At 34.6% G+C, this 14076-nt stretch overlaps 1 protein-coding gene across 41 annotated transcripts in view; it reads left to right on the forward strand.

The window, feature by feature from the left end:
* BLTP1 (bridge-like lipid transfer protein family member 1) overlaps positions 1-14076 on the forward strand; it is a 210422-nt gene that overhangs the window by 17582 nt on the left and 178764 nt on the right. For 38 of the 41 annotated variants that reach the window (XR_938783.2, XM_047416253.1, XM_047416259.1 and 35 more), the window contains 4 exons: positions 703-832; positions 3124-3240; positions 4662-4740; positions 5938-6002. Coding sequence is in view for 39 of the 41 variants with exons in the window: in XM_047416253.1 (XP_047272209.1) it covers positions 736-832; positions 3124-3240; positions 4662-4740; positions 5938-6002 (358 nt within the window). In the remaining 2 variants the exon portion in view is untranslated. Of the gene's footprint in view, positions 1-690; positions 833-3123; positions 3241-4661; positions 4741-5937; positions 6003-7561; positions 7608-8431; positions 8673-14076 lie in introns of those variants that run through there. The other 3 variants (NM_015312.4, XM_047416264.1, XM_047416272.1) reach the window with 3 other exon arrangements.

The following is a 14076-nucleotide window of genomic DNA, read 5'->3' on the forward strand; positions in this document are numbered from 1 at the left end:
GCTTAATATGATAATATTAAGTGGTGGCTTTGGGACAAGTCTGGATGAATTTGTTTAATGTAGATGGCTAGTATTTCTGATTGTTGAGATGTTTTTGATTAAAGAATAATCACGCTGGGCGCGGTGGCTCACGCATGTAATCCCAGCACTTTGGGAGGTCGAGGCAGGCGGATCACCTGATGTCAGGAGTTCAAGACCAGCCTGACCAACATGGAGAAACCCCATCTCTACTAAAAATACAAAATTAGCCAGGCGTGGTGACGCATGCCTGTAATCCCAGCTACGAGGTAGGCTGAGGCAGGAGAATCGCTTGAAACTGGGAGGTGGAGGTTGCCTGAGCCGAGATCATGCCATTGCACTCCAGCCTGGGCAACAACAGCAAAACTCCTTCTCAAAAAAAAAAAAAAAAAAAAAAAGAATAATCACATTCCTGTTATTTTGAGCCAGAGTATAGTAATTGAACCTTAGTTAGTGCTTACATTTAGAATGGTGAAATCAGGACATTACAAGTATGATCCATTCTCTTACATTTTAGTAGAAATGTGGGCATTTTTGTTGTATTTTTGCATTCTCATCATTGAAGGAAACAGAAAGGTGATTTAATCAACTTCGTTTATTAAATTCACCCTTTTTTTCCCTTAATGATTTCTGTTGCAATTTTATAAATCTCTGATTCTAAATTTAACCTTTGAAATCTTTTAGGCCTTTAGATGTTGTTCTGGAAAAACTTTAGTAATGGATCAAAGGAAGAATGAGAGTATTGTTCCTAGTATAACTCAATTAGAAGATTTTCTTACAGAACACAATTCCAATGTTGTTTGGCTCCTTGTTGGTAAGTGGAATATTTTTCTTCTATTTTATTGTGTTTTAAGTATGGATTAACAGCTGCCAGATTTTAAACAGTGGTTGACTGAAGTTGGAACACTAACACTACCATTTATTTATTTTTAGGAAGGAAGATTGTTATTTATATTTCTTGAACATTTGTTCTGGAAACTGCTCTGAAATGCTCTACTTTTTCTTAGGCTGCATTCTCATCTGACTTAGGGGAAGTGGAAAGAGAAGAAGAACACTGCACTTAGCTTATCTTTCTGGTTTCAGGTCACCTCCCCAACTTCTCGACTCAACACACACCCAAACACTTTTGTTTTGTTACAGAAATAATAAATCCTCAAATATAATTTTACTGTAAAAATAATTCTATTTTTATAGTAAAATAGAATTATATGCCTAATCTTTTAATCTCTTTCCTCATTCCTTGTGCACTTGGCAGTGAGATCTGCTATTAATAATTTTTTGGTATAATCTAGAAGTTTTCTAGGTATATAGAAATAGCTTAAACTAAATAGCAGAGGGAGAAAGGAAATATGAGTGAATGAATGAGTGAATATGAATGAATGAGAGGGAGAAATACAAAAATAATACAGGGAAGGGAGAAATTATTGTAGGTTGTTTCTGCTCTGGAAGTTTTCATGGGAGAATGGTATTTGACTTTAATTTTGGCATAAGAATTGGAAACAGAGGAAATGAGGAAGGGAAAGAGAGGAAACAAAGGGTAATGATAATATGTTAAGCATCTTCTGTGTGCTAGATGCCAGGTTGTACATATGTTGTCTCACTTAATGCTCAGAGTAGCTTTATGAAGGTAGGTTTTTATTCTTTTCCTTTTAATTCCCTGTTGGGGAATTGAGGCCCATAAAGATTAAGTAATTTATATGGGTTACACAGGTTTTTTTTTTTTTTTTTTTCTGAGGGGATGCTTATGCTTCTTTCATGACACCCAAGGATGTGGGTAGGAATATAAGTAGAGATGAAGTGTCTGTTCCCTTTCCTATCACCTAGAATTTTTCAGACTTTTTCCTGTTATAAACACCTCCTTTCTTTAAGAAAAAAACAACAATAACAAGCAGAAAAACATTGAGCAATTGTTTAATCCCTCTGTTTTACTATGAGCATAGGGGGGCGTGATATAATGAAAAGACTACGATTCCTGGCTTGTTTAATATTGAAAGCATATTTTCTCAGCAAATGCCTGTTGCCATTCTGAAGGACTCATATAACAACCTACTGTTGACACAGTGATTTATAGTAAAAATTTATACAAAATGACTTTAAACTTGAGATATAATGGCATATCATCAAAATAACTTTACAAAATATTTTTTCTAGAATTTTTTTTTTTAAAATGGCAAATCATAGCACTTGCTATGTCAAAGCTATTACCATCAATCTAAGCTGCCCTGGGAATTGTATTTTATGTTGACTCTCAGTGATTGTTTTGCTTTATCCATAATACATAATTGTTTAAAAGTTAAGGACTTAATATGATGTTACTAAAGGGTTATACAGGTTAAGTTGCTTTTCTATAACTTTCTCATAATTTAGAAGTAATACTTTTGAAAAGGATAAGTAAGAGCAAATTGATTATCAAAACAATGTTTTCCTGTTTTGCCTTTTGTATATTCATGAACTAGATTTTTTGAGAATATGAATTTTATAAGTAACCATATACTTTCATTAAAAAAATAAATTTAGAATATCATTTACTGTAGCATATTCAATGACATCATAACTTATTGTCTTACCCATCACAGCAAAATATCTAGTTACAGGTGGCCTATTTGATATGCCTTTATACTAAATTCCGACTTCTTTTACTTAAAGCACAGCTTTAAAAAGCAGAAGGTTTTTCTTTAAAGCAGAGATTTTAAAAATCATTACTTTTCTTCCTTTACAAGTGGCTATAGCTTGTTTCAGGAAATAACTTGGGAATGAACTTGTGTATAGATGAGTTTTTGGCCTAATAAAGGTGAATTTGTTTCAGAATATTCAGAAATATGGCCTTTCTTCTCCCAGGCCATATTTTTTACATAATGTTTATTAACTAAAACAGTACAAAGCAGTGATAAAGTAAACAGAAATGAAAGCAGGCATACTTGAAACATTGCTCTAATGGATCTGATCGGAATTTATGCTTTTCTGGATTATGAATGAAGAAGAGGAAGAAAGCTGGATAAAGTATAATCAACCTCTGGTTTTAAAATTCCAAGTATTAAATTGTAAGAGGACACATTACTGTGTAGAAGTAAATCCTATTATTTCTGATTTTTTTCCTCCCAACAGCTACCATTTTGTCCTGTGGATGGATTATTTACCTCACATATTATAATTCCCGGAATGTTGGTCTTATTTTAACACTAGTTCTTAACAGATTATACAAGCATGGCTATATCCATATTGGTGAGTTTGAGTTAACACTGAATTTTTTTCTTCCTTATAATCTTGAGATGTTGTCTTACCATTTTTTGTTGCTATAACTGAATGCCTGAGACTAGGTCATTTATAAAGAGAAGCAATTTATGTCTGATAGTTCTGGAGGCTGGGAAGTCCCAAGTTGAGGGGGTGCATCTGGTAAGGACCTTTTTACCAGTGGGGACTCTGCAGAGTCTTGAGGTGGCACAGGGTGTCACATGGTGAGGGGGCTGAGCTTGCTTGCTCAGGTCTCTTTTTCCTCTTGTAAAGCCACTGATGTCCCAACATCATGGCCTCATTTAATCCTGAGTACTTCCCAAATGTCTCACATCTCAAATACTGTAGTCAGATTTCCCACCCTTCTAACACTGTTAAAATGAGAATTAAGTTTCAACGTGAGTTTTAGAGGGAACAAACATTCAAACCATAGCAGATGTATATTATAAATTTATATTTCATGAACAGATAGTAGCATTAGAAATTTACCTTTGTTTCATGATAGTTAAGATAATCTAACTGGAATTTCTCTCACACAGCACTCCATTACTTCATGATAATATCCGCTTGGTTATGTCCTTTACCCCATTATTTATTACTTCTTTAAGTGTTTCTGTAGTAACTTTTTGACTTTTTTTTAACTTATAAAAGATGCTCATTAAAAGAGTTTGAAAAACTTGGATATGTATTAAATGTGGAAATAGAAATTTCTTGTGAGTCCACCATTCAAAGAAAGTTTTTCATGTTCAATGTAGTTTTGGTTATTTTTAAAGTAACCCATACTTTAAAAATATGTAAGTTAGAATCATCTTGTATGTTTCATTTTATGGCCTGCTTTATTAATTAAATTTTTGACTACTTAAAAGTAGGAAATTTGCAGGTAAATAGGAGGGTGTATTAGGAAGCTATGTGCTTTGAAAGCCCTAAACCAGTGGGAGAAAGGGATGGGGAGAGATGACTGGAGAGAACCATTCTAACCTGCCTTATAATTGAGTACCTTTTAGTCGACATAAAACTTCTTTCAAACATAAATCGTCTTCCATTAATTTGAGGCAATGGCTGGTTCCTGCAGTCACTCAAGATTCTAAAGAAAAATGGTGAATTAGTCACTACTTTGGGTTTATTTAATGGCAGTGCATAATTAAGGGAATTATCCATACAAAGCAGTTACTTAAACTAATATCCTCTTCAGGTTATTTAGTAGCTTACTTCATAGTGATCATATGTATGGCACTTTTTGTTTTATTGGGGAAAGAATGATGGAAAATCAGTAAGGCTGTAAGGGTATCAGGAAGAGAGTGAGAAGAGATGCTTATTGAATAAATTTAGTGCTAATGTTATTTTAAACTTTAAGGGCCCTACTGTCTGTTAAAACAGTTACATTAACTGCTGTTTTTTCCTTCCTATAACAGGTTCCTTCTCTTTCTCTGTTCTTTCTGGAAAAGTCATGGTTCGTGAAATCTATTACATTACAGAAGACATGTCTATTAGGTAACAAAATTAAAAAATTGAAAAGGACCCATGTTAAACATACTTTAAAAATATTGTTAAAATGTTTTATGATATTTTATTGAATGTGACTTGCTTCTTCAAATAAAACTAAATCAAATTTTTTTTTCCAGTAAATCATACTTGATGAATTGATGTTTTAAAATATTTTGTCAGTGGATTAATTTAGCAGAATATAAAAATAGCTGTTTATAGAAATGAATAATCTTTCATTTCTAGATGAGAAAGTGAACCTTTAAATTGCCTGACCATTTTATATCACAGAGTTCATAGTAGTCATTCGTTATATACAGCAAGGTTTAGAGATGTTGGTCTGTCATCCATTAGCTCCTTATTAGAGATAATAAGTTTATAGAATTGTTTAGCATTTGTTAGAAACTCTTAATTTTATTCAAAGAAGGAAACACAAATATGAATATAATAAGGATATGATTGAAATGTTCCTTCTTCTGTAAGTCTTGAAAGAAAAGCCTACTCAATTTTTGTGATTTTCTTCAAATTTGTGACTTAGGTAGAATTCAAAAGTTTTGAATTAATTGAGAGGTGCTAGAGTTTGGCAGTGCTCACACCTCACTTAAAACTAGAGGAGACAACTTCTATACTAGTCTAAAATTATTTCCCAATCAAAAGTGAAAAATAAAAAGCTCAGAGACTGTAAGTTCATCCTTTTGGGGCATGAGATGATAGGTTATTTATGAGAAATGAAGGAACATCCTTAAAAGTTTCTCTTTTGTGTGCTAACATCCCTCTTTCAAGATTTGGCTTATTGTTACATAATTTTTTTCCCTCTCTCCTGTAGAACTAGGTATCTGTAATTTTTTATTTTAAAAAATATCATTTAAAAAGGAAAACATTTCTGTTAGCGCTTCATTTTCCTGTGACCATTAATTAGAAGAATATGATATTTCAAAACATGTTGTATATGATAAATATATGCAATTTTTATGCATCAAGAATCTTTAGCTATGCAAAGTCTCTTCCTTTTTTAACTAGAAGATCATGAAACATACTTCATAAGTCTTTGTTCACGAAAAGATGTGTGTTTATGTATGCCAATGTTCTTTTGAGGATTTCCTGTATTTCCTTGTTCATTATCAATTGGCTTCCTTTTGGAATAACTAAGAAATGAGTTAAGTAAATTGTTACTTAAATTCTAATTTTGTAATTTCCCTTTCTTAGGATTCAAGATGGATTCATCATTTTTCGGTGGTGGAAAATGTATAACCCAAAACAGAAGCAACATGGTGAGTTTTCATTTTTTATGTGTTTAAAATGTTCAATCATATAATCAGGATTTTATGAAAACTAATTAAAATTAGATATGACCAGTTAGAAAAGTTTAATTTTTAGGCCAGTCACGGTGGCTTATGTCTGTAATCCCAGCACTTTGGGAGGCTGAGGCAGGTGGATCACCTGAGGTCAGGAATTTGAGACCAGCCTGGCCAGCATGATGAAACCCTGTCTCTACTAAAAATACAAAAAATTAGCTGGGCGTGGTGGTGGGCACCTGTAATCCCAGCTATTCAGGAGGCTGAGGCAGGAGAATTGCTTGAACCCAGGAGGCGGAGGTTGCAGTGAGCCAAGATCGTGCCACTGCACTCCAGCCTGGGCAACAGAGCGATACTCTGTCTCAAAAAAAAAAGAAAAAGAAAAGTTTAATTTTTAAAAATGAGTGAAGAGAATTATTATTAACTTTTGTAGCATTAGCTGTGATTTAAATGAGAGGTATATACTCTTCAGTAAGGCATCACATTTTACCAAAATTAATAATTTGAATTGTTTGTAAAAATATATATAAAATAGAAAATATTCCAAACAAAGGTAAATTTTAAACCAACAAATTAAAAGTACACTACCACTCATGTTTTAAAAATGAACTAAGGAAAATGAATCAGCAACATTCACTTTCACTTCATAGTATCTTTCATATAGTAATATTTTTATGAGTAATTTACTTGTTAAACAATTTTTCAGGTAAATTCTTTTGCTTCTACTCCAGTGTAGGTTTTTTCTATTATGACTTCTTAGGATAATTGATAAAAAAAAATGATAAAGGCCCAATCCTTCAAAAAACAAATATTTAGAAGATGTAATTTTCCTAATATTTTGCCGTAGTTCTTTGGCCTGTGTTCCCTCCTGTTTCCTCAGATTTATCACATGACTAACAGCTAAAATAATCTCTAAACTGTTATATCAAGCACTTCATCACCTTTACTTGCTGTAGTTTAAATCTTAAACAGACTCTAGGAAACACACTGGTGTTTTAATATGTATGAAGTATTCTGAGATTTGATAGTAATAAACCCAGTTTTAAACACATTAAACTCTGTCATTCACTAGCGTTAAACCTTTCCTCAGTCATCATCCTTGATTTCTCCTCAGACCACTAGGGTCAAATATCTAGCAGCCTACTCAGCGTCTCCAATTTTATGTGTAACAGGTTTCTTACACTTGAAATATTCAACCAAACACCTGATCTTCCCACCCAAACCTACCCCACGGTATTTTCCATCTTATCAACAGCAAGTCTATCTTTTCTATTGCTCAGGCCAAAAATCTTGACTGCTGTCTTTTGTGTCCCAGAGGTCATCATCAAATCTTGTCAGCTTTCCTTTCATCCTACATCCAGAATCCAACTACTTCTCCCCACACTGGCCCAAGTCGCCATCATCTTCCACCTGTTTTATCACATAGTCTCTTAACTAGTCTCCCTGCTTCTGTGCACTTGTTCCTCAACCTGCTCTTAATACACTGGCCAGATCTTTTAAAAATGTAAGATCATTTTATTCCTCTCTCTTCCCAGATTTTCCCGTGGCTTCCCATCTCACTCAGAACAACACCAAGGTCTTGTAAGTGACCTATAGAATCCTACGAACTTTCTATAAATAGCTTATAAAATCCTATATTATATCCCTATAAATATTCTATAAAATTCCTTCTACCTCCTGATCATCTTACCTTCCACCCCACTCCAGATAAACTGGCCTGTTAGTGTTGGTGATGAAACTGCAGCAGAGCCACCATGAAATGTTGGCCTCTGGATATTCACAGTATTCATTCCCTTATTTGCTTGGTGGTTCTGGTTAACTATCCTCTATCAATGAAGCTTTTCCTGAATACTTTTGTAAAGCAGCACCCTCCCCCACAAACTAGCACTCTTTGTTCCACTAACCTTGCTTTTATTTTCTTCAATGCTGTATTTTTCTCATGCATTCCTTGATGCTGTATATATATTTATACTTGCTTATTAGTGGAATCTACCTAACTTGAATGAAGCAAACTCTGTAAATGGTGGGACTTGTTTTGTTCTGTACTGTATACTTGGTGTCTAGAAAAATGCTTAGTACATAGAAGAACTCATTTGTATAAAAGAGTAACAGAGTATCTTTCTCCTAGTCATACTTCTAAGTAAAACAAAACATTGAGAAACATCTTATAGAATGCTTGAAAATCTAACATGTGGAGGCATAATAAACCTAAAATATGATATGTTTCTATTCCCAGATAGACCTATACCAGTAGAAATTAATTCTTATGAGATTCTTCAAGGTTATAAACAACTCAATCAAAATTTACCAGGAAACTCTTTTAAATTGTTTGTTTTCAAATTTACATAAGCAATAGTTTACTAATGATACCTGCATACAAATGTCCTGATTATTAGGCATACACTTTAAAGGCCAGTTGGTGAGCTGCAGAAGCAGCAATGAGGGAAATTAAGAGCCTGGACCTGCCCCTAATTGGATCAGCAGTGATGCATAAACAAACGGTGACTGTATAAAAATGAAAACAGGATTACTCTCAAATCCGTCTCTAACTTGCTGGGCATGTACGACAGATTCTCTCCTTTCAATATAACAGCTATGATAAGATATGGCTTCATTAATTGGAGACGCCAAGGCATAAAGAGAAAGGTATTAATTTCTGAATGTACGTTGACAACACTGATAAACACTAAATACTGAATACTAAAATATTGTAAGATCCTCCTCAACATTCCTTATCCTGTTTTTCAGCTTTTATTCCATTATTATCTCATTTATTATTTTATTATTTATTTTCACCTCTGCAGCCAGAATGCACCCTTCTGCATTAGTGCATAATTTTTCCTATGTTCACTGCCATATCTCTGGTGCCTAAAACAGTGACTAGTACATAGAAGATGTTGAATAAATAATTGTTAAATTATTAAATAAAAATAATAAATAGGTTTAAAAATTTTAAGGTTGAACAAAATGCGTAAATCACTCTTTTCCTTCCAAAAATCACCTTAGAAAAGTATTGAACAAATAGCAAGTCTGTAAGCATTTAAAAAGCACCTTTTGAGGCAAGGCATGTTGGCTCATGCCTGTAATCGCAGTGCTTTGGGAGGCTGAGGTGGGAGGATTGCTTGAGCCAGGAGTTTGAGACCAGCTTATACAACATTAGCAAGACCATGTCTCTATAAAAATTTTAAAAAATGAGCTGGGTGTGCTGGTATATGCCAGTAGGCTTAGCTACTTGGCCTGAGGTGGGAACATGCCTCAGGCTGAGTTACAGTAAGCTATGATTACACCACTGCACTCCAGCCTGGGTGGCAGAGGAAGACCTTTTCTCTAAAAAATAAATAAATAAATAAATAAATAGATAAATGCACTGCTTGGTCTCATATTTTAAAAGAGAAACATTTAGCTCAGTTCACATCCCACCTTTATTTGTTCTCTTGTTTCTATTTAGTTCACCTGCATTAATAATATTCCAGCCAAAGACCTGTATGATTAAACAGTAAACCAGATCTCCAAGCGTGGGCTGATCTCCATGCTTACATGGTCTGTATTTTCTTCAAGGCTTCTGTCCAGGATCTTTTTTGTTAATATTCCTAGCCTTCTACCATCCTCAGGAGTATTTTATGTGGCAACACTCCTTTCATCCTCCGTACCTGTACCCCAGTATTACACACTTAGATACAAAGAGACAGGTTGCCTAAAAGCACACCCATAGAACAGAAACACAGGGAAAAGGACACATACAGAGAGGCATATATATGCATACAGAAATGGGCGTGCACATATAGGTACACTTATGTACAGAGAAACATTTTCAAAGATGAGCACATACATGCACACACACTCACACAGCCACACATTGCATGCCCACACAAGTGCTAGTACACTCACTGTATCCCCCTCACAGAGATAAATACACAGAGGCTACATGCAAAGTATCCTCCCTGCCCCCCACATACAGACAGGGGTACCATTCCAGATCAATGGAGGCATATCCCCAGCAGTGAGCATGTCCCCTCATAAACAAGTATCCCTCCAAAAGACAGGCACTTCTTCCAAAGGCATCCATCTCTCATATACACGTGCATGTACACACACACACACACACATACACACACACACACACACACACACACACGGCTTCTTTAAAAAAACCTAATATGTTGAGAATGGCTGCATTGGATTCTTCAGGAACTGGACAAAGGAGGTAAATAAATAGTAGAAAGAATATAGGATGTGATCCCTGTAACGTCATTTACTAATATTGTGACTTAAGGCAAGAATTTTAACCACTCTGAGCCTCATTTTTTTCATCTATAAAATGAGAACACCTCTACTTACCTGTAGGATTGCTGTACAAAATAAATACTAGTTTTTTTCTCTTTGAAGGTCAAATTCTTACTAGTCATGTAAATTATATATTTGTTTTCAAGTTATTCTTTTAAGATAATCTTTCAGAATGTGATATAATGTTCAGAATAATGATAAAGGCAGCTCAGCTCTATTGCACTCTTGCTGTGTTCCAGGTACTGTTCTAGGCACTCTATGCACATAATTTTATTTAATCCTCACAACAACTCTAGTGATTGGAGCCCAAGATTACACAACCAGCAAGAAGTAGATTGGAACCCAGATACTAAACTCTTCACAAAACAAAAGTAAAAGTAAATGCATTTTGTAGAACTGCTTAAGTCTTCTGAACAAACAGCTAATTGAGACTCCTTGTTTTCCAAAGAGAAATTAGAAAAAAGATACGTATTTAATTATGTAATTGGGACACATGCTATTTGTAGTAAAAAAGGCAAGGTGCAGAAGTGCTGCCAAGGCATTACAATTCTGAGAATCAATACAAAGACAAAACAGTCTACTGACCTTTTAAAAACTGCTCAGGGTTTTCTATTTATGTAATTTATTTAACAAACAAGGTTTAGATGTAACCAGTTTTAAATTACACTAATAGATTATAGTAGGCTAAAACCTCTAAGTAATAAAATAACAGAAAGGGACATACTTTACCATCATTCTTTCACTTCTTGGTATAAGAATTTCTTGTGGTTAAGAAGAAAGCATGACTATTTATTCAGATCCATATTCATTTAAACATTATGATATATCATTGCCTGTTAAGAGGCAACTGGTCTTACAGTTTATTTTCCAAAAGACAGTCTTTATCCTAAAAACAAAATAAAGATTTTTGACAGATATAATTGGTCTTTAGCTGACAATCATCTATAAAGCAGATCACTAATTTTATAACCTAGGGAGTATTTACAAACATTCTATGATAAACAAATTAGATGCGTTCTTTTTTTTTAAAAGAGCTATACTGGACAACTGACAGATCTAAATGTGCTCCTGGCGCAGAATTTGGGCACTTGAACACTCCTCTTTTTTCCTGATAGAGCAATTCAAAAACTTAGTAATAAAAATCTTGGTCCTACCTACAGACAGACTTTGGTCCATCTCCTTGGAAGGCTGAATGCACATCTGTCTATTCAGGCATATGCCCCAATTAGGCTTCTAATTTTTCCACCAAGAAACATCAACTTCCTTCTTGGTTAACTGCCAAGCATATGGATCTGCCCTTAATCAGAGAGAGAAATACTGATTATAAGGTCTTGTTAGTGAACATAATCTGTTTTTATATTATATATAATGATTGTATAAGCTGCTAATCTTGTTAGACTTTTATCAAAAGCTTCATTTGCAGCCTATTCATTCCTCTATCTAGTATAGTCTAAATTCTGTCCCTGAGTAATGGTAGACCGATAATGTACTCAAACCAAATTATTTATTCCTGCATTACTATTTGACATCATGTCTTTACTTTTGAAGGACATTGAGTATGTTGTTAAGAATGTCATCCTCCATACTAGAGAATTTCCTTTAAAAAAGCACAGGGAAGAAAAACTTAATTGACTCTTCACCAATGTTGTGCTCCTCTTGATGAGAATTAAATGTCATATTGTAGGTAAAAGTATGAGCAAATTATTAGTAATTGCAAAAGTAATAATTGATAACATCTACCAACCTCTAACATCGCTATAAAATAGAGGTGTGGAATCTTTTTTTCTATTGAAAATCATTGGCACACAAAAAATTTAAAAAAGAACACTTAAGCCAAAAACAATTTAAATATTCTTAAATGTTAAGAAGAATACAGAATATCCAAAAATTATAATATTTCTATTCTAGATTATGGACAATTACAGAGAGCATACAGAGAGACAGCAATATGCTAATATTAAAAGAGTGACAAAAAGAATTCAAGACATTGACAGAAATTATGGGGGAAAGCCAGTCAAGGGAAGGCCAGTATTTAAGCTATTTCTGTTAACCTGAGGTGTATGAATCTGAAGTAGTGACTACATTTTGCTATGTCCTTTCAAAGAAGCTGAGTTTATGGCACTCCCCTGCCCTCCCCTGAGTTTATTGACTGTGCCTGCCAGGTGTTCAGGGTCCTCCATACACAGTTTCCAAATCATCCCCTATTACCCCATTACCTTAAATTTACCACCACCAAATTGAATTTCTAAACACACACATTTTCTAACCTCAGTGCCATTGGTCTAATCAGTTATTCCATCTGAGCTCCCCTCCGCTCCACATCTGTCTGACATAATCCTACTCACTCATCATCATGCATGCTCCTTGAGGAATAAGGCATTCACAGGAGCCCTCCATCTACCATTCTGCTTCCTGACAAATGGGCAGAACTTTATTGTCAAACCATGACCCTGTTGGGACCATACGAAATGTTCTGTATCAAAGTTAGAAGTTCTCAGTATTTTTCCTCCATTCACATTCACTGCTCCCTTTCTCCTTTAATTGTAATTGTTTATATGCATCTGCTCTACCAAATCGATTCAAGTAGCACTCATTTCCCTCTTTCTTTTTTTAAATCCCTCTCCCAGCTTAACACAATGATTAATAAAGTGAATGCCAAATAAATACCTGTTAAAGATTTTTATCAAAAACCACCTCTTTCTTGAAAGACACTTGGGTCACTTATTCTTGACTTCATACGTGTATTCTGGTGAGGAGCAATTCATTTTAATGAGATGTAATATTTCATGATCAAATGAAGTAACTACTTTTCTCAAAAAGAAAAAAAGCTGGGTTGGTTGCAGTAGCTCACACTGGTAATCCCAGCACTTTGGAAGGCCTAAGTGGGAGGATTGCTTGAGCCCAGAAGTTTGAGACCAACCTGGATAACATAGTGAAACCCTGTTTCTACAAAAAATACAAAAATTAGCCAGACATGGTGACACGTGCCTGGGGTCCCAGCTACTTGGGAGGCTGAGGTGGGAGGATCACTTGAGCCATGGAGATTGAGGCTGCAGTGAGCCATGGTTGCACCACTGCATGCCACACTGGGGGACAGAGCGAGACCCTGTCTCAAAAAAAAAAAAAAAAGCTTAAACAATTTAAGATTTACATTCTGCACTCTAGAAATTCTAGAATCAGAGAATTTCTAAAATCAGAAAATTCTAAAGTGGTCAGTGTCATTAGGCTTATAGCTTTAAACTGTCACTTGCCTCTGGATACTGCAGATGTCCATCCTTTCCACAAGCTGCAATCAATATTTATGATAAGAATTTCCAAGGACTTATTTGGGCCCCAGTTAACAAGGCTGTTTTATAATACAAGGAGCACTGGACTAGAATTTAGCAGACCTAGGTTTTTGCTTTGACTCTACAAGTTACAATCACAGGAATTTCTTTCTTAATCAGCAAAATGAGAGGTTTTTAAAGTATTAGTTATTTCCAAGTTGATGAGGGGTTTTGAGAAGATCAATTTTTTCCAAGTTTTGTTCTTTGGAACAAAATTCTAGGGTTAATAGCATGGGATATTAGTTCAAATGGACCTTCTTCTCTACTTTCCAACCTCACTGTCCCCCTACAGCTTTATTTATTCACACAAATATCCTAAATACTGAAAATAATTGAGATTAAAAGATCTAGTGTAAATATCCACAAAGAGGTACATTTTTTTTTTCAAAATCATAAACCAGCTATGTAAACAAAAAATTTTGTTTCAGCTCCACTGTAAT

The sequence above is a fragment of the Homo sapiens genome, chromosome 4, assembly GCF_000001405.40.
Source record: "Homo sapiens chromosome 4, GRCh38.p14 Primary Assembly".
In the NCBI taxonomy this organism is placed as follows: Eukaryota; Metazoa; Chordata; class Mammalia; order Primates; family Hominidae; genus Homo; species Homo sapiens.